The sequence below is a fragment of the Homo sapiens genome, chromosome 14 (genome assembly GCF_000001405.40).
Source record: "Homo sapiens chromosome 14, GRCh38.p14 Primary Assembly".
Classification (NCBI taxonomy): Eukaryota; Metazoa; Chordata; class Mammalia; order Primates; family Hominidae; genus Homo; species Homo sapiens.
Genome location: NC_000014.9, coordinates 90,523,951 through 90,542,935, shown reverse-complemented (window position 1 = coordinate 90,542,935; position 18,985 = coordinate 90,523,951). Strand labels below are relative to the sequence as shown.

The 18,985-nt window shown below is 51.9% G+C and overlaps 1 protein-coding gene across 3 annotated transcripts in view, besides 4 other annotated features; it reads left to right on the top strand.

The window, feature by feature from the left end:
• The window catches only part of TTC7B (tetratricopeptide repeat domain 7B), a 291,867-nt gene extending 273,495 nt beyond the window's left edge, over nt 1–18,372 (top strand). For all 3 annotated transcript variants that reach the window (NM_001320421.2, NM_001010854.2, NM_001401365.1), the window contains one exon: nt 1,347–18,372. In NM_001320421.2, the coding sequence (NP_001307350.1) occupies nt 1,347–1,568 (222 nt within the window). In that variant the 3' untranslated portion in view covers nt 1,569–18,372. The remainder of the gene's footprint in view (nt 1–1,346) is intronic.
• Nucleotides 3,060–3,572: an enhancer, noted in NCBI's record as "H3K27ac-H3K4me1 hESC enhancer chr14:91005708-91006220 (GRCh37/hg19 assembly coordinates)". NCBI's record gives its function as "activates a minimal SCP1, AML or CMV promoter by ChIP-STARR-seq in primed H9 embryonic stem cells {active_cell/tissue: H9 hESC(primed)}" and the evidence as "EXISTENCE:reporter gene assay evidence [ECO:0000049][PMID:30033119]".
• Nucleotides 3,573–4,086: an enhancer, noted in NCBI's record as "H3K27ac-H3K4me1 hESC enhancer chr14:91005194-91005707 (GRCh37/hg19 assembly coordinates)". NCBI's record gives its function as "activates a minimal SCP1, AML or CMV promoter by ChIP-STARR-seq in primed H9 embryonic stem cells {active_cell/tissue: H9 hESC(primed)}" and the evidence as "EXISTENCE:reporter gene assay evidence [ECO:0000049][PMID:30033119]".
• Nucleotides 8,400–9,230: an enhancer, noted in NCBI's record as "H3K4me1 hESC enhancer chr14:91000050-91000880 (GRCh37/hg19 assembly coordinates)". NCBI's record gives its function as "activates a minimal SCP1, AML or CMV promoter by ChIP-STARR-seq in primed H9 embryonic stem cells {active_cell/tissue: H9 hESC(primed)}" and the evidence as "EXISTENCE:reporter gene assay evidence [ECO:0000049][PMID:30033119]".
• Nucleotides 9,265–9,765: an enhancer, noted in NCBI's record as "H3K4me1 hESC enhancer chr14:90999515-91000015 (GRCh37/hg19 assembly coordinates)". NCBI's record gives its function as "activates a minimal SCP1, AML or CMV promoter by ChIP-STARR-seq in primed H9 embryonic stem cells {active_cell/tissue: H9 hESC(primed)}" and the evidence as "EXISTENCE:reporter gene assay evidence [ECO:0000049][PMID:30033119]".
• Nucleotides 18,373–18,985: the final 613 nt, after the last annotated feature.

The following is an 18,985-nucleotide window of genomic DNA, read 5'->3' as shown; positions in this document are numbered from 1 at the left end:
CTTTGGGGATAAAATTTGCAAAATGTTTGGGGAGTGCTAAAGAGAGTCATATCCTCTTACCCAGAGACCCTAGTTTGGGGAGATTTGCCCTAAGGGGAGGATGTCCAAATAGTTGTCAAGGCCGTTCCACTGATCCTCCCCCAGGGCCACTAAAAGGAGCTCATGGGGGACACTGGACTCCCCTCCCCACCCCACCCACCCCACCAAGTTGTTCCTTTTTGTCTGTTTATACATAGACTGTGTGGGTGTTCTCTGTAAGATTTCATTTAACCAAAGGTTTTCAGGGATACAAAAAAGATTGGAAATCCACTGATCTAAAGAACAAAGAGGTGCTTTCTGGAAAGATGTTCATGTCTGTGCGATTTGGAACAGCAAAGAGATTGGATGTGACCTACATGTTTCTCCCCCGAGGGAGAGGTTGAGAAAGTGAGAGTGTCCATTGGATGAGCGAGTACACGCATCGCTTATAGAGGTGCGCAGCTTGGAAACGCAATGATGATGAAATAGGTGGGACCCACGGGTACACCCCAACCAAGGAAAACGAAGATGACAGCTGGGCACAGCCTGGGGCAAGCAGAGACAGTGAGGTCAGGGCCTTGGTCGGGGAAGGGGCTGTGAGCAATGTAAAAACTGTCGTCATCATTCTCATAGTATAATTCCACCAATGGTTTCTTTAGTTTAAAAAAAAAAGACGACAGGCCAGGCCCTGTGGCTCACGCCTGTAATCCCAGCACTTTGGGAGGCCGAGGTGGGCAGATCACGAGGTCAGGAGATCGAGACCATCCTGGCTAACATGGTGAAACCCTGTCTCTACTAAAAATACAAAAAATTAGCCGGGCGTGGTGGCGGGCGCCTGTAGTCCCAGCTACTGGGGAGGCTGAGGCAGGAGAATGGCATGAACCCGGGAGGCGGAGCTTGCAGTGAGCCAAGATCGCGCCACTGCACTCCAGCCTGGATGACAGAGCGAGACTCCATCTCAAAAACAAAAAACAAACAGAAAAGGATGATAGTCCCATCCCATGCTGACGCCGCGCTGGGTCAGTGCAGACTGCGGACTTCCAATTAGTTCATTCATGGTTCTTAAGTTTTCAGATGAACCATATGAAGTTGCCATTTTTATATTCAAAACATGGCTGAATATTGGCAATTTCATATTAGTCAGCTTGGCGACTATTTTGACTGTTGCCCCTGAACACAGGAAATACTGGAGAACTTACTATGGGCCCAGCCCAATGGCGATATATTCCCGGCTCCGAGGAACTGACTGGAAACTCGAGGACAAGTAGGATGCAGAGCTCCTGAAGCCTCCATGGCTGACTGTCTCTCTCTCTCTCTGACCTCTCCAGGCCCTGATCCTTCACCAGCTAGGCCGCTACAGTCTGGCGGAGAAGATCCTCCGGGACGCGGTGCAGGTGAACTCGACAGCCCACGAGGTCTGGAACGGGCTGGGCGAGGTCCTCCAAGCTCAGGGCAACGATGCGGCGGCTACGGAGTGCTTCCTGACAGCCTTGGAGCTGGAGGCCAGCAGCCCCGCCGTGCCCTTCACCATCATCCCCCGCGTGCTCTGAGCAGGCGCCTGCCAGCCTCACCTGCCGCTCAGGCCTCAGAGGCCCTGCCGGGCACCAGGGCTTGTGCCATCGCCCCAAGGGGATGAATCTGCCACACTGAGGCCAGGGACGAGTGTTCAGTGGGCCACAGTGAACCAACCAAACCAACCCCGAATCATCGCTCTCGCCATGTGCGTTTCTCTTGTTTTTTTTGCCAGCCCAATGGTAGTTTCTGAACCTATTGACATTGTTCAAAATGGATCATGTGCCATATTTTGTTAGTTGACATCTGAGTTTTCAGTAAAATGATTATGGAATTAATCAGCAAATGTAGAAGAATATATTCAAAGTTAAAATTCAGTGGCAGCACAGATTATTTTTATCAGAGCTGTAAAGAAAACAACTGTCCTTTTCTCCCCACCACCCCTCCTGCCCCACTTTGGCCCAGAAACCAAATGTGAACTTCCTGTCTCCCACCTCAGCACTAGTCCATGCCAGGACACCAGCTGACAATTTCTTGGTTTTACTGTCAATAATTGTACCATGTGATCAATTACTGTCCTCACTTAGAACAAAGCCTGAGTCCGAGAATATTTATATTTTACCAATATATGCCTGTTACAAGAGAAGGAAATATGAGTTATTTAAGTTTAACTTTTTTATGTGAATTCAGAGTTTATTTATCGAGGGAAATATGTACAAAGAAGCTTCAAATGGAATATTTACCGACATTCCTTATACATGACAGACACTTGGCTACATGGGAAGATGATGTTAATAATAAAATGATTTTTAAATGGACTCATAGCCTGTGTCATTCGTAAAAGCTCAAAGACCTGAGAAAGGCTTAGTTCCTGGGGTGGGGAGCTGTCTGTACCTGGGGGCCCACTCTGGACATGTCAGCCCTTGACACTAGAAAGCCCAGCCTCTCTTTCCCCACTTATTTTATTTTTATTTTTTGGAGACAGGGTCTCACTCTGTTTCCCAGGCTGGAGTTCAGTGGTGCGATCACAGATCACTGCAGCCTCGACTTCCCAGGTTCAGGTGATCCTCCCACCTCAGCCTCCTGAGTAGCTGGGATCACAGGCGCACACTAGCATGCCCGGCTAATTTTGTTTGTTTGTTTTTGTAGAGACGGGATCTCACTGTGTTACCCAGGCTGGTCCTGAACTCCTGGACTCAAGCAGCCCTCCCGCCTCAGCCTCCGAAAGTGCTGGTGTGAGCCACCATGCCCGGCCATCTCCTCACTTATAATTTGAAGATGATCCCTAGGTAGGGACGTGTTTCCTGCGTCCTCAGCACCCAGGCCTCCTTTTTGCAGCAACAGCCCTGGTTTTGGTTTGGGAATTCGCCTTAGCTCTCCCCCGATGGGGCTTTGGAATTGGAGCATGCAATTCAGTCCTGCCCAAGCAGCCTCCTGCACTCATGGGCCACAGAGGGTCAGGAGTGAGCATGTGACCTAAAGCGGTCCAGTCAGAGCGGGAGCCACAGAGAAGGCTGTCGCTCTTTCCTGCTGCCTTTCAAGCTGAGAAGTGAGGCTGGAACTGCAGCAGCCCTCTTGCCACCATGAGAAGAAGGTGTAGAGGTGTTTGAGCCAAAGTCCGAATCCCACAGAGTAGACAGCAAGATCCGGAACCAGAGAGAAACTGAGCAGGTATCTGCAGTCTCTCAGGGACAGCTGTAGGGTGGCCCCACCTTTCCAGGACACAGGGAAATATGGAGGGCTGAGCTCTGAACTTAGGTGCCCTGAAGCCTAGAGGACTGCATTCAAACTGGGCACGACCTCTCTGGCTCACTGAGGCAGGCGGGCTAGGGGGCAGCCAAGGAGGGAGAGACAGTAGGTAGGAGCCCCAGCCTCAGCACTGACCCTGCCAGGCAGCACTTGTGGCTTTGAGTGGTCATAAGTCATGGAATTTGCAATGTAGGACCTGGGGCAGGTACTCAGTGTGGTGGCAGCTTGCCCTGATTGGAGGCACAGGGCTGGGCTCTGCCATCCCATGCGGGAGCGTGGGGCAAGGCCCACTGGATCAGGACCAGGAAGGGAGGAGGCTGGGCCACCAAGGCAGATGGTGCAGGCGCTGTACCAGACCTTCTCTGCCAGGCCCTCACCTCAGAGACTCCTGTGCGTATCAGCCCTGCAGGGCGCGGGGGCTGGCTCCTGTGTGTCTGCCCGGCACCTCTCCATTGTCTTCATCTCCCTCAGGGAACCACCCCCACTCTCCACCCACATGGCTCAAGGATGGACACATGGGCCCAGCCTTAACAACCAGAGCCCTCCAGCTCCCCAGTATCAGTGACTGGTTTGGGTTTGGGCATGTGACCCATGCTTGGCCAATGAGAAGCACCCCTGGGACTTTTGTTATGAAAACATTAGAAAAAAAGCCTCTTTCTGCTGGGTTTGATGTCCTAATAGGATGCCAGTGGGGGGCTGTGGGTGCCATTTGACATTATATGGGGTGGCCTGCCTGAGAATGATGCCAACACAGAAAAAGAGAATGAGGAGGTGGAAAGAGAGCCGGGCCCCGGGTCACCGCTGGAGCACTGCGGCCCGAGATTTTTCCATCATAGGAATCCATACAGTTTCCCATCTTGCTTAGTGCAAGCACAGGGGTTTCCATCACTTCTACCTAAAAGGTACCTAAGAAATGCAGGAAAGTCCTGCCGTCCTTGGTACTCCCCCCTTGGGCACTCTTCCAGACTCCTCAGTCCCCCACCTTAATCCCACTCACCCACCTCATATTCTGTTTTCCAGTAAATCTTGTCTTTTCTACCCAAATCGCATCTCAAATCTCTCCCATTCAACTTCATCCCCAGTACCTTGGCCCCAGCCCCACACAGTCCAATGTCTGCACAGTCCTCTTAGAAGGGAGGATTGAGTCGGTTCTCTCTATAAACCCCTGATGGCTTCTCAAGCCCTTGCCTGGAACCAGACTCTGTGTCCCAGCCCCCTGTGTGCCTGGCTGCCTCTCCTTCCCCAAGCCCTCTCATGGCTCTGGCCTTCTTCCTAGTCTTCTGACCTGCTGAGCCTTTCCCAACTAAGGACATTCATCCATCCGTCCATCCATCCATCCATCCATTCATCCGTCCACCCGTCCGTCCGTCCGTCCATCCATCCATCCATCCATCCATCCATCCATCCATCCATCCGTCCATCCATTAATAGATGAGGACGCAGACGCTAGACACTAAGACGGCAGGACACCTGCCTGGGGTCATTGTGGAATTACCTGGCAGAACTAAGATTGAGACAGGCCTGAGGGATAAACATTTCAAAAGTGCCCAGGTCTGCCCAGTGGAGGCATTTTTTGGACAGTGAGATGCAGGAGATGCCGCGTTTGATTCCAGGACTAGTGCTGACCCTAACTTAGGCAAGGCGTTCCTGTTCCCTGGTCTTAGTCTCCCCATCTGTGAAATTTCATTCATTCATTCACTCATTCATTCATCCAACAAATATCTATGGAATGCTCACAACATGCCAGATGCTTATTCCAGGCACTGAGGGCACAGCAATGTGTGACACAGATGCTGCATCCACTTAGGACCTACCTTCTGGTAGAAGGAAACAGACAGATGAGGAGTATGGCAGGTGGGGTGACGCATGGAGAAAGATGAAGCCAGGGAAGGGGTGTAGGGAGTGGCAGGGCTGCTGTTTAGAAGGTGACTAGGGAAGCCTCGCTAAGAAGGTGACATCTGGCTGAAGAAAGACAGGTAACCTGGGAGGAGGACATCTCAGGAAGCAGGAACAGCAGGTGCAAAGGCCCAGAGGGGAGGGGGATGGTCAGGTGGTGAAGGATGAGAAGAGGTCAGAAGTTTAACAGGGGCCACACAGGTGCGGCCTCGTGGACCATGCTAACAGTGTATATTAATTGCCTGTGGTTGCAGCAAATTACCATAAACTGGCTGGGCATGGTGGCTCCTGCCTGTAATCCCAGCACTTAGGGAGGCTGAGGCAGGAGAATCAGCTGAGGCCAGGAGTTCAAGACCAGCCTGGGCAACATGGTGAGACCCCCCCCCCATCTCTACAAAAAAAAAAAAATAGCCAGGTTTGGTGGCGTGCACCTGTAGTCCCAGCTGCTTGGGAGGCTGAGATGGGCTGATTGCTTGAGCCCAGGTGGTTGAGGCTGCAGTGAGTGATCACGCCACCGCAGTCCAGCCTGCATGAGAGAGCAAGACCCTATCTCTACAAATAAAATAAATTAAAAATTTTAAATGACCGCAAACTTAGCGTCTTAACACAAATTTATTCTCTTTGTTTTGGAGGTCAGAAGTCAAATCAAGCTTTCAGTGGGGCTGTGCTCCTTCCCCAGGCTCTGGAGGAGGACGGGTGTCCCCGTCTTCTCCAGCGGCTAGAGGCTTCCTGCGGCCTTGGCTCGTGGCCACCTCACGTCACCTTTCCTTCCTCTGCTCCGTCACTGCGTCACCTTTCTGCCTTTGACCTCCTGCCTCCCTCTAAGGACTCTGCTGGTTGCTCTGGGCCCCCTGGATAGTCCAGGGCCATTGCCCCACCTCGAGAGCCTTCGTTCAATCACATCTGCATCGCTCCATCTGTCATGGAAGGCAACATAGTCACAGGTTCCAGGGCTCGGGATGTGGACGTCTTTGAGGGGCAGGGGGAGCACGTTATTCTGCAGGCCGCAGCGTGGGAGCTGGGAGGCTGTCAGGCTCCTGCTGTCACACAGCGACCATGGTGCTTAGACCAAGGGGCGTGGAGGAAGTGGCGAGAGGCACTGGACTGTGAAGATTCTGAAGACAGAGCCAAGAGGGTTGCTCACACATGGAGCTGGGTGTGAGGGAGGGGAGACGCCAGGGATGAGGGTGAGGGTCTTGTCCTGAGCTACTGGAAGGATGGCGATGATGGCCAGGAAACAGGAAGAATAGGTTGGGGAGGAGAGGAGAAGGCAGGAGTCTGCTTTCAGGCAGGTTGAATACAAAATGCCTGTGGAGCCTCTGAGGGGGAGGCAGCTGGCTGGGCAGGAGCCCAGGCGAGAGCCCAAGATGAGGCGAGAGTGTGGGAGGTGTCAGGGATGCGGGGCTGGGAGCCATGGGCCTGACGGGGCCACTTCGGGACAAGCATAGACAAAGAGGAAGAGGTCAGGGCTGAGCTCCGGGGCTGGCGGGGTTTACAGGCTGGGAAATGAAGAGATCAGGAAAGAAGGCGCAGGAGCAGCTGCAAGGGAGGCGGAGAGCAGGCAGGGTGAGCTTCCTGGAGGAGGTGGGTGGGCTCTCTCAATGCCTGGAGACCCCGTCAGGGTGGCCTGAGAGCTGACCGTGGGCCTGGTGGTGTGCAGGTTGGCAGTGACCTTGACCAGAGCCATGCTGGGGATGCAGTTTTGCTCCCCCAGATTCATAGGGTGGAGCCCCCGCCCCTGTGTGACTATATTTGGAGATAGGCCCCTTAAGGAAGTAATTCAGGTGAAGTGAGGTCATCAGGAGGGGCCCTGGCCCAGTAGGATTGGCGTCCTCACCAGAAGAAACTCTAAAGTGCAAGTGAGCTCACGCTCAGCCACGCCAGGACACACGGAGAAGGCGGCCACCCGCAAGCCAGGAGGGAGCCTCACAGGAACCCAGATGGGCTGGAACCTTTGCTTTGTTCTTTGAACCTCCAGGACTGTGAGAAATTAAGTTCATTGTTGAAGCCACCTGTCTGTGGCGGTTTTCTTACGGCAGCCCAAGCTGACTAAGGTGGGGTCAAGCCAGGTTGGAGTGGGCTCAAGGGGGAGGAAAAGGTGAAGTCTCTTTCAAGAGCGTAGCTGCAGAGGGGAGCTGAGAACACAGGTTAGGAGTCCGGTGGGGAAGGGGCCGTGTTGAGTGTTGAAGGCGGCCTCGCTGAGCACCTTGTGTTTCCAGCAGGGCAGGCGTGAGGAAGGAGAGAGGGAAGCTGAGGGGGGCTGCCTTGGCTGGGGGCCTGGTGGTTCCCCAGAGCAGCAGCAGCAGGGAGGCAGAGGCCTGGGTACCCCCAAGCCAGGGAGCCCTGGGGACGGGGCACCCACTCCTCAGTGAGCAGGGAGCCAACTTCGGGCAGGGTGGGGTGGCGAATGGACCAGGAAGGGAAGGAGGAGGCAGAGGAGGGAGGAGGCCCTTCTTTGAAGGAGCCGCCCCACTCAGCCAAGAGGATCTCAGGACAGAGCCAGGCTGGGGGCCTGGGCAGGTGTGGCCGGGGCAGGCCACTTCCCATCCCCAGCCCCATTTGGGATCCATGGGCTCGTCTGTCTGTCTCTCTGCCTCCTTCCAGGTCCTGGGCCCTGGGCTGTGGCCAGGGCTCTGCTCACCCTCAGGGCTGCGTGGGGACCTCCCTCGGTGGGGAAAGGAGGGAACCAAGGCCTCCCGTTATCCTCCATGCCCCCTACCTGTGGTCATGGCCTGGGGGAGGTGCATGCTCGTGCACAGGTGGGCGTGTCTGTGATCACATGGAGCAACCCAGACTCCTCCAGATGGCCCCACGCATCTCCCCGGCGGCCACACAGTCATCATTGCGGGCCCAGACTCTCTGCCTGCAGGAAGTCCCCCCTTTGCAGGCACCCTCCCCATCATCCTTGGAGTTCTCCACGTCTGCCCTGTCCGTGCTGGGCCTGTCACCAGCCTGTCACCTGCTGCCCCAGCCCCAGCCCAGGTCCCTGCAGCACAGCCGGCTCCAGGCTGGAATGGGTGACCCGGCCCTACTGAAGGAATTTCAGGGCAGGGTCAGCCACTCTGGCCACTGTCTCCCTCCAATGCCCCCATACCCTCCCAGCGCTCGGCCCCTGCCACTCGGCCCCCTCTCTCCATATCGCCACCTTCTCATTCCTGCTCCTCCCCCACCACCTCTCAAGGCCGACAGGGTGGGCATTGCCCAGTGAGGGGACACCACTCATATTGAAGTTCTGTAAACTGTGTCTTGGGCACTGTACCAGGTGGCTGCTCCCATCCCTCCCCTAGCGTCTGCTTGCCCTGTCCATCCTGCCTACTCCAGAAGCAGCCACACACTTGACCATAAGCCTTTGAGGCCTGGCCGGAGTCCTCCGGGGGAGGCGGGCAGTAGCAGCCGCACTGGGCCTGAGGACCCCACACAGGAAAATGGGCCGAGCCCCAGGGCTGAGCCTTAGGGCTGCGGCCGTTCCCGCCACTAACATTCCTCCCACACTTGTGGTCATGCATTTCCTGCTGCCCCTGCCCACGCTGCAGCCAGATAGGAACAGAAAAAGGACATCCTGCACCATTTCAGACAGGAATGTGCTCCTCCTGAAGGTCTTTTGGGGGCCAGGCTGAGGCCCCCCCTCAAGGTCACACCGTGGGGGACCCACTCCAGCTCTGCACCTGCTGGGGGTGATCCTCACTGTGCCACTGTCCCTCCCTGGACTCAGAATCAGATGAGGACAGTCACCTCTGCCCAGCCTGCCTTCTGGGCTGAGATGTGAGTCTGCAGGCAGCTGTCAGAGGTGGTGTGTGCCAGGTAGGGGACACGAGGGCTACCGCCCCTCAGGACCACCACACAGGGCCTCAGGGCCAGGCCAGCAGGCAGGACTCCTCCTGGACACTCAAGCCCTGAGTGGGGCTGACTATGGAGAGGTGGCAGGAAGGTGGTGGGGGATCTTCTGCAGGTCTGCCTGGAGCCAGCAGCTCCCGCTGACCATCCGGGCCACCCACAGCCCCCACCACCCTCCTCGTCTCCCTCATCTTCTGCTGTTTGGCCCTTGACCCCCTGAGGACAATAGGGTTTCCTGGTGACCACTGGGCTGTGGGTCACACAGATCTGGCTGGAATCCCAGTTCTGCCTGGCCGTGTCACCTCTGATGGGGAAGCACTCTGTCTCCTCATCTCTATGGTCGGGGAGTAACTTCCCTTACGGGCTTTTGGGGATATTAACAGAGGTCAACCTGGACAGGGCATGGGGCCCCCGGGGTGCACCATAAAGTCTTTCCTTCTTTCTTCTATCCTCAGGCGAGGGGTGAGTGGCTGCTGGGACGTGCTGAGGGGTCCCTGAAGCAGGGCAGGAAGGGCAGAGCTAGCTGCAGCTGAGGCAGAGTCCGAGTCCCGCTCTGCATGGAGGAGGAGGTGAGGGGCCTGGTCAGCATGGGCATGGCTGGGGGCCTCTGTGACCGCCACCACTCTTGTCTTTGCCTCCTTGACCCCACAGGGTCATCCTCGGGCCCTGGGTCCAGCCAAGGCCTGAGGAGGGTCATGCATCCCTGTCCCACTTGGTCACAGCACAGGAGGCTCCCATCCGCCACTGCCTGAGGCGGTGCCTGTGGCCCAAGGGCTCGGGTTGTGGGCCTGCTGGGCTGGAGCCTGCATCGGGACCTGGCCACCTACTCTCCTAGGAGCCTTAGGTGAGTCACTAGTCCTCTCTGAGCCTCGGTTTCCTCATCTGTGAAATGGGGAGAACAAGGTGGTTGTAAAGATTCAGAGGGTGTGTAAAACACAAGCACATGGCCGAGCACAGCCCAGCCCTACCCCTGCATGGCTCCTCCCCCGGGCATGGCAGGAGGTCAGGGTTTCCAGCCTGAGCTTAGCCTGCCATTCAGCAGTACCCAGGAAGGCACAGCTACCAGGAAAATGACCTCCCCAAGCCCATGGAGGCTTCCTGAGCACCCAGCCCAGCCTGAACCTCCACCCACCCAGGTGGCAGTGAGGCCTTCCTGCCTGTGTTCAGCCACGGTGTATCAAGGACCCCTGGCCAGACACAGGTACCTGGGCTGGGGAGCTGGTGGTCTTATTGGGGACTGGGAAGACAGACCCCAAACAGAGGGGTAAACAAATAAGATAATTACCAGCTTGGCAGATGATTAGAGCAAATTTGAAGTGACAGGGGGAGGGTTACTTTAGATTGGCTGGTCGGGGACACCTCTGTAAGACAGTGACATTGAGTGACAAGAAGGTGCCCACCCTGGAGGACACTGGGCTTCTTCACCTTTAAGAGGGATGGTGAGCAGAAGCCCAAAAGCGTCAGGTTCTGCCACTTTGTACCAGATGACTAGGCCCAGCCAGTTTGCAAAAGGGCTGGCCCATCCTCACATTGGCCCATCCTCACATTGCCAGCAAGGACCAGACCATGTGAAGAGGGAAGAGCATCCTGTAATGTACAAATAGGGGATCAACTTTAAATTATCTCCAGAGTTTCTTTCTTTAATATGTTGTCCAAAGGTAACTATGTTAATTTTTACAAATATTTTTATGTAGTTTTATATAGTTTTACAAATAGTTTTATGTAGTTTTGGTTTTTATTTGTTTGTTTTTGTTCTACTTGAGATGGGGTCTTGCTCTGTCACCGAGGCTGGAGTACAGTGGCACGATCTCAGTTCACTGCAGCCTCCACCTCCCAGGCTCAAGTGATCCTCCCACCTCAGCCTCCTGAGTAGCTGGGACTACAGATGCCAAGCCCCACTAATTTTTTTCAGAGACAGAGTTTTGCCATGTTGCCTAGGCTGATCTCCAACTCCTGGTCTCAAGTGATCTGGTCCCCTCAGCCTCTTAAAGGTCTGGGATAACAGGTGTGAGTCAGTGTGCCTGGCCTATGTAGCAGTTTTTAAAACTACAAAATTAAATAAGAAAGGGGCAGAGCTCAGACACAATGAGACTTTTCAGTCCAGTGTTTTCAGATTCTCTGGCTTTCAACTTTACAATTTCACTTCAAAAATTTCAACTTCAAATTTCACTTCATTGCTTTCAAAATCTTGAGCCAGCTTGTCCTTTGGATCTGGACTGTGCCTGTCTGCACTGGCAGATGGACAGAGCTCCTGTATAGAAATGAAGCCAGTTCACCCACGGCTTTTTTTTTTTTTTTTTTTTTTTTGAGAAGGAGTTTCGCTCTTGTTGTCCAGGCTGGAGCGCAATGGCACAATCTCGACTCACTGCAACCTCCGCCTCCTGGGTTCAAGCTGTTCTCCTGACTCAGCCTCCCGAGTGGCTGGGATTACAGGCATGCGCCATCACGTCCAGCTGATTTTTGTTTTTTGTTTTTTTTTTGTTTGTTTTTTTGTTTTGTATTTTTGATTTTTTGTGCTTAGTAGAGACAGAGTTTCACCATGTAGGTCAGGCTGGTCTCGAACTCCTGCTTCAGGTGATCTGCCCGCCTCAGCCTCCCAAAGTGCTGGGATTACAGGCGTGAGCCACTGTGCCCAGCTGTTTTTTTGTTTGTTTGTTTGTTTGTTTAAGCAAGCAGCTTTTTCTTTTCTTTTGTGATCGTAAAACCTACACCCACTGTATCAGCTGCCTGTTGCTGCTACAACAAATTGCCACAAATATAGTGGCTTAAAACAGCATACAATTTTTTCTTTCTTTTTTAAGTTATAACAATATATTTTAATCTCATAACAACTTCAACTGAATACAAAACTCTTTACATTTTCAGCTATTAATATTAAAATTATATCATTTTATATCCTGTATCTATTAACAGAGATTTATGCAGATTTACATTTTGTTCTTCAAATTCTATAGAATTTTAATTTTTTATTTTCATAGGTTATTGGGGAACACAGTGGTTACATGAGTAAGTTCTTTAGTGGTGATTTGTGAGATTTTGGTGCACCCATCACCCGAGCAGTATACACTGCACCCAATAAAACAACGCACATTTCCTGTCTTACATGTAGTTCTGGGGGTCAGAAGTCTAAAACGGGCCTCATGGGGCAAAAGGCAAGGTGACGGCAGGGCTGTTCTTTCTGGAAGTACTAGGAAAGACATCAAACTTTGCCCTTTCCAGTTTCTCAGGGGTGTGCTTGGCTCATGGCCATGTTCACTGCCGGCAGTGGCATCACTCCGACCTCTGCTGTAGAGCGATCTCTGTGACTCCTCCTTCTCTGCCTCTGACCCTCCTGTCTCCCTCTTTCCCTTGTAAGAGCCTCCTGATTACATTGGTCTTACCTGGATAATCCAAGACACTCTCCCCATCTGAAGATCCCTCATCAAATGGCATCTGCACAGCCCCTTTTGCCAGGTAAGTGACCATCTTCACAGGTTCCAGAAAGTAGGATGCAGGCATCTTTTGGGACCATCATTTCACTTACCATAGTCACCTTGGGGACAATTTCAGACATACGAAGACTAAGATCATTAAATTCCACTATTTAGCGCTCACCTTCTCAGCATTTTGGCCTGTTGTCTTGCAGCATTCTCCCATGAGTATAGATTTTTTTGTTTTTTGGGATGGAGTCTCGCTCAATTGCCCAGGCTGGAGTGCAGTGGTGCGATCTCGGCTCACTGCAACCTCCACCTCCCGGGTTCAAGTGATTCTCCTGCCCCAGCCTCCCGAGTAGCTAGGATTACAGGCACGTGCCACCACGCCTGGCTAATTTTTTGCATTTTTAGTAGAGACGGGGTTTCGCCGTGTTGGCCAGGATGGTCTTGATCTCCTGACCTCGTGATCCGCCCACCTCGGCCTCCCAAAGTGCTGGGATTACTTACAGGCGTGAGCCACAGCGCCCAGCCAAGTATAGATATTTAATGAAGTGAAATCATACTATCTATAACACCGTATGGATCTTTTCACTTAATATTCTCTTGTCAGTAAAAATCTTTCTAGATAACTTAGAGACAGCATAACCTCCCCTCACATGGATGCACTGCAGACTGTTTAACCCTTTCTTTATTGTCAATGATTTAAGTGGTTTCACATTGTCATGCCACATACAATGGAATGGGTAATGCCAGCTCACAATTATTGAGCATTTATTATGCACCAATCATTCGACATGTATTAACTCATCTAATCCTCATGACAGTGCTATGATATGCATACAGTTATTACGGATACAGGTCCAGGTGAGAAATGAAGCTCTCTTCAGAAGATGAACAAACTTGCCCAAGTTTGGGTAATACTACAGCAGGCCTTGAACCCAGGTTGCCTGACTCCAGAATCCATACTCTTAGCCACTCACATGCTCATGTTTTCTCCTAGCATCTCTGATTATCTATCTTAGGGTAGAATTCGGATAGGCAGAATGGCAGTTCATCAGGCTATATTTATTGAGGGCTTAGTTTGTGCATTTTCCATGGGCTCACTGAGTTAATCCTCATGACTCCAAGAAGTGGTCTGTTAACTGGCCGAAGCCACGCTGGTTGGCTCCAGTAGCTAGACTCTGCCTGGAACCTCTGTGTGGTAGCCAGTCATTAGCGGTGGTGAGGGCTACGGCCTCTCCCTGACAAGCTCACCTTGCCAGACGGTGCCCCCATGAATGCAAAATGCAGTCAGATCCCGCTATCGGAAAGAGGTAACAAAGCGCAGTCAGGTCACGCCATCAGAAACAGGTAACAAAGCGCAGTCAGGTCACGCCATTGGAAACAGGTAACAAAGCAGTCAGGTCACACCATCGGAAACAGGTAACAAAGCGCAGTCAGGTCACACCATTGGAAACAGGTAACAAAGCAGTCAGGTCACACCATCAGAAACAGGTAACAAAGCTCAGTCAGGTCACGCCATTGGAAACAGGTAACAAAGCAGTCAGGTCACACCATCAGAAACAAACATCAGAAACAGGTAACAAATCACAGTTGGGTCACACCACCAGAAACAGGTAACAAAGCGTAGTCAGGTCACACCATCGGAAATGGGTAACGAAGCGCAGTCATGTCACACCATCAGAAACAGGTAACAAAGTGCAGTTGGGTCACACCACCAGAAACAACCATCAGAAACAGGTAACAAAACACAGTCGGGTCACACCATCAGAAACAACCATCAGAAACAGGTAACAAAGCGCAGTCAGGTCACACCATCGGAAACAGGTAACAAAACACAGTCGGGTCACACCATCAGAAACAACCATCAGAAACAGGTAACAAAGCACAGTCAGGTCACACCATCGGAAACGGGTAACGAGGCACAGTTGGGTCACGCCATCAGAAACAACCATCAAAACAGGTAACAAAGTGCAGTCGGGTCATGCCATCAGAAACGGGTAACGAAGCGCACTCGGGTCACACCGTCGGAAACAGGTAACAAAGTGGGAGGTCAAGGCTGCAGTGATTATGCCACTGCACCCCAGCCTGGGAGACACAGCAAGACCCTGCCTCAAAAGAATGACAAAAATAAAATAAGTTGCTCTACCACTTTGCGTGGTCACCTGCAGAGTGTGAAAGTGTCCACTCACAATGTGGCCCTGGTTCTTAACTGACCATTTGGAGGGTTGTCTGTAGCCACTGAAACCCAGACTCCAGCTTCCTCCAGGCTCTCTGTCCGGCTGGACAGAAGGAGGAGCTGGTGCTGCTGTTTAGCCAGCCAGGGGATTGGAGGCTCACAGCAGGGGAGCGTGGGGCTGTCACCCATTCCTGTTTCCATGGTTTGTATGGGTAACCGGGAGGCAGCAGGCGACCCCATGGCTATGTCATCCACAGAGAGAAACCTTATCACATACGGAAGCTCTTATTCATACAACATATGCCAACCTTGTCAACCAATAAATGCCTATGGAGCCTTTACTCTGGATCAAGACATCCTTCCAAGTGATCCACCCGCCTCAGCCTCCCAAAGTGCTGGGATTACAGGCGTGAGCCGCCACACCTGGCTCGCCATTTTCCTTTAGCTTGTGATGTGATCATAAAGTGAGTCACATCTGCCAGGCGCAGTGGCTCACGCCTGAAATCCCAGCACTTTGGGAGGCTGAGGTGGGTGGATCATGAGGTCAGGAGATCAAGACCATCCTGGCTAACACGGTGAAAGCCCATCTCTACCAAAACTACAAAAAATTAGCTGGGCATGGTGGCAGACACCTGTAGTCCCAGCTACTCGGGAGGCTGAGGCAGGAGAATGGCATGAACCCGGGAAGCAGAGCTTGCAGTGAGCCGAGATGGCGCCATTGCACTCCCACCTGGGCGACAGAGTGAGACTCCATCTCAAAAAAAAAAAAAAAAAGTGAGTCACATCTCCCTCTGGATCTCAGTTTCCTTGTCTGTAAAAATGGTAAAGAAGGTTTTGACTAAGTGATCCCTGAGCCTTTGTAACTGCGAATTTGCTAAGTTTAGAGATTATTAGGACTTCTACCAGAGGGACAGTAACAGGGGTGGGGTTAAGTGAAACATCAATGTGAAGTGCCTGGCGTAGAAGATCCTCAGAGTCAAGTGAAGCTTGGGGAGCTTCATCACTGGAGTGTGGGCTGGACTTGGTGACTTGCATTCAGAGAGAAGGATGTGGAAATAGGAAAAATAGTAACATTACCACAGAGAAACCTGGCAGGACATCACCTTCACCAGTCAATGAAGGTCAGCATTCCCAGTGATGAGTCGTGTGAATACCAGGTACCCCCAGATATGATGGGGTGAGCAGGGCACCTCATCTCTGTGGTCTTCTTCCCCCAAACCCATAACTCCAGTGTAATCATGAGAAAACATCAGACAAACCCAAACCGATGAACTTTCTACAAAATACCTGACCAATACCCCTCAAAACTACCAAGAGCATGAAAAAGAAAAGTCTAAGAAACTGACGAAAACCAGAGAAGCCCATGAAGACATAGCTAAATATTAGGTGGTACGGGGTCCTGGATGAAAGGCACCGTATTAGTACGTCCTCATGCAGCTAATAAAGACATACCCGAGACTAGGTAATTTATAAAGAAAACGAGTTTAATTGACTCACAGTTCAGCATGGCTGGAGAGGCCTCAGGAAACTTACAATCATGGAGGAAGGGGAGGCAAACATGTCCTTCTTCACATGGCAGCAGGAAGGAGAAGTGCCGTGCAAAAGGAGGGGGAAAAACCCTTATAAAACCATCAGAGCTCATGAGAACTCACTATCATGAGAACAGCATGAGGGTAGCCACCCCCATGATTCAATTACCTTGCACCGGGTCCCTCCCATGACATGTGGGGATTATGGGAACTACAATTCAAGACGAGATTTGGGTGGGGACACAGCCAAACCATATCAGGCACATTCGTATTATAAGCTGCTGACATCTAAATAAAGTCTGGAGTTTGGTTACTAGTAATTTATCAATGTCAGTTCCATTGTTGGCACAAATGTGCCAGGTAACATAAAGGTTATATTAGGGGAAATTGAGTGAAGGGTAAATGGGAATTCCCTGTGTTATCTCTGAAACTTTTCAGTGAATCTAAAATTATCCCAAACTTAATAGTTTATTTTTTTTTAAAGTAAGGTCTAGGCCAACAAGCACATGAAGAAATGTTCAACATCATTACTCACTAGGGAAATGCAAGTCAAAACTCCAAGAGATACCACCTTACACCCACTAGGATGTCTATAATCAAAAAGACAGACAATAACAAATGTTTGTGAGGACGTGGGGAAATTGGAACCCTCATACGTTGTTGGAGGGAATGTAAAATGGTACAGCCACTTTGGAAAACAGTTTGGCAGTTTCTTAAAAAGTTAGACATAGAATTATCCAGGAATTCCTCTCTTAGTATGTACCCCAGAGAAAAGGAAATATATGTACAAATATAAAATACAAAGACTTCTTTTTTTTTTTTATTTTTTTTATTTTTTTTTATTTTTTAACCAATCGCAACTCTGTACGTTGGTATTATTCTAAGGGAGCAAAGCTTTGCCCCAACCCCCACCCCCATGTCCTGGTACTCTTCCACTCTGAGAGCTTTAGAACCGGGGTTCCAAAGTCTCTGCTTAGCCTAACAGTGACGTGCTTGTCACAAAGCCAGAGGCCGGTGTACTCGGGTTAGAGAGGGCCTTTGTCGTTGGGTTTTATTCTTATTGTATTATTCGGGCTCCACCGACCCAAATATTAGTCAACTGGGTTGGGCGAGGTAGGACGGATGAAGCCCACCGTCTAACAATCTGGACATCTATAGGAGCAGATCCGCCGCTCGAAACAGCTGACCCAGCGACGACTGCGGAACCACTAGCAGCGTCTGCACAGATCGACCCCGCCATCCCGCCGTCCCGTTCGGTGACCGGAGACGCAGCCGGGAACGCGACTGATCAGGCTACCGAGCCGGGCCGCAGGGCGAAAGCGGTGCGGTCCGAGGCCTCAGAAAGGGACACGCAGCAGCGGCAGTGGCGCTGACTCAGCCCGGCCTCCCTGCAGTCCCCTCAAATACAAAGACTTCTCCGCAAATGTTTATAGCAGCTTTATTTGTAATAGCCAAAAACTGATCACAATCCAAATGTCCACCAACAGATCAAAGGAGAAGCGAATTGTGATCTGTCCATATGAGGGGCTTGGTGCCTGCAGCAACATGGGTGAATCTCCAGGTAGTGGTGACGAGTTGAAGGAGCCAGTCAAAAAAGAACGTGCTGTGTGATTCCATTTATAGAAAACTCTAGAAAATGTGGACTAATCTAGAGTGAGGGAAAGCAGACCCGTGATTGCGCCTGGGGCAAGGAGACTTGGGGGTGGAGGGGGGGCCAGAGGGAGGGGTTTCAAAGATGATAAAGACATTTTGAGGGTGATGGATATGATCCCTCTCTTAATAGTGGCGATGGCTTCATGGATAGATACAAATGTCAAGACATATTGAACTGTATACTTTAAATGCTTGCGCTTTACTACGTGCCAATCACATCTTCATAAGGCTGTTTTTTGTTTTTTTGTTTGTTTTTTTTTTTTAAAAAAAAAGGCCTCGTAATGGAGATGAGTACAGCCTGGCCTCAGTCTCCCCACCTGCAATGTGGGGGATCCCCGTGTGCCTTGCACCACCTGAGAGCTCCAGGCTTAGGAGGAGACCGAGGTGAGCCCTGTTTCTAGCCAGAAACCCCAAGGCCCTAACCCCCAGGGCTGGGCAGCTGCAGGGCCCAGGCTACTGCCCCTCCGGGGATGGACGGTGCGAGGCCACTCCAGGGGCATGACCTGTTTTGGGCAGGCGGTGGCTGTGGGGAGAAGAGTGGGGAGGTCCCTTTCTTTTTTCTTCCTGAATAAAAAAATGCATGATGCTACATGTGCCTTGGGATTTTTCAACACAATTATCTAAAAATAGTGTGGGCCACCACAGCCTGATTCCTTTTTAGGAAGGATTTTGGGAGCCCAGCCTGTCCTGGCGGCCAGCTCAGGAAGTGGAGGCTTGTCTGGGTGGGGCCGGGGCTGCAGCGACCCTTCCCTAGCTCCGGCCAAGCCCACCCCATCTCCCACTTCGCTGAGAGCCGGGCTGCCAGGAGTGCATGGTGGGGCGGCCAGTGGCTTCCTGGCGGGGCCCACAGCCCCAGTGAATTTCAGCCCTGCTGCTAGGGCACTGCATGACTTCTCTGTGCCTCAGTTTCCCCAACGGGGAAGTGGAAGTCATTGATCACAGTCAACAAGGCCCAGCAGAGACAGGAAAGACACTACTGAGGGAGGGTTGATGGGTGCCTGCTTCTCAGTTGAGCCTCTGTCCTTGCAAAATCAGGCAAACCGTCCGGGTGTCCTGGACAACTCTGACACCTTCCTGCCCCACCTAGGCCTTGGGACCAGCAGGGTGAGACCCAAGGCCTGGACTCCCAAGGCCAACAGTGGCCAGCTCAGGTTGGTTCCACTGCTCACACTCTGCTGACACATCCTTTCCCTATGGGGAGC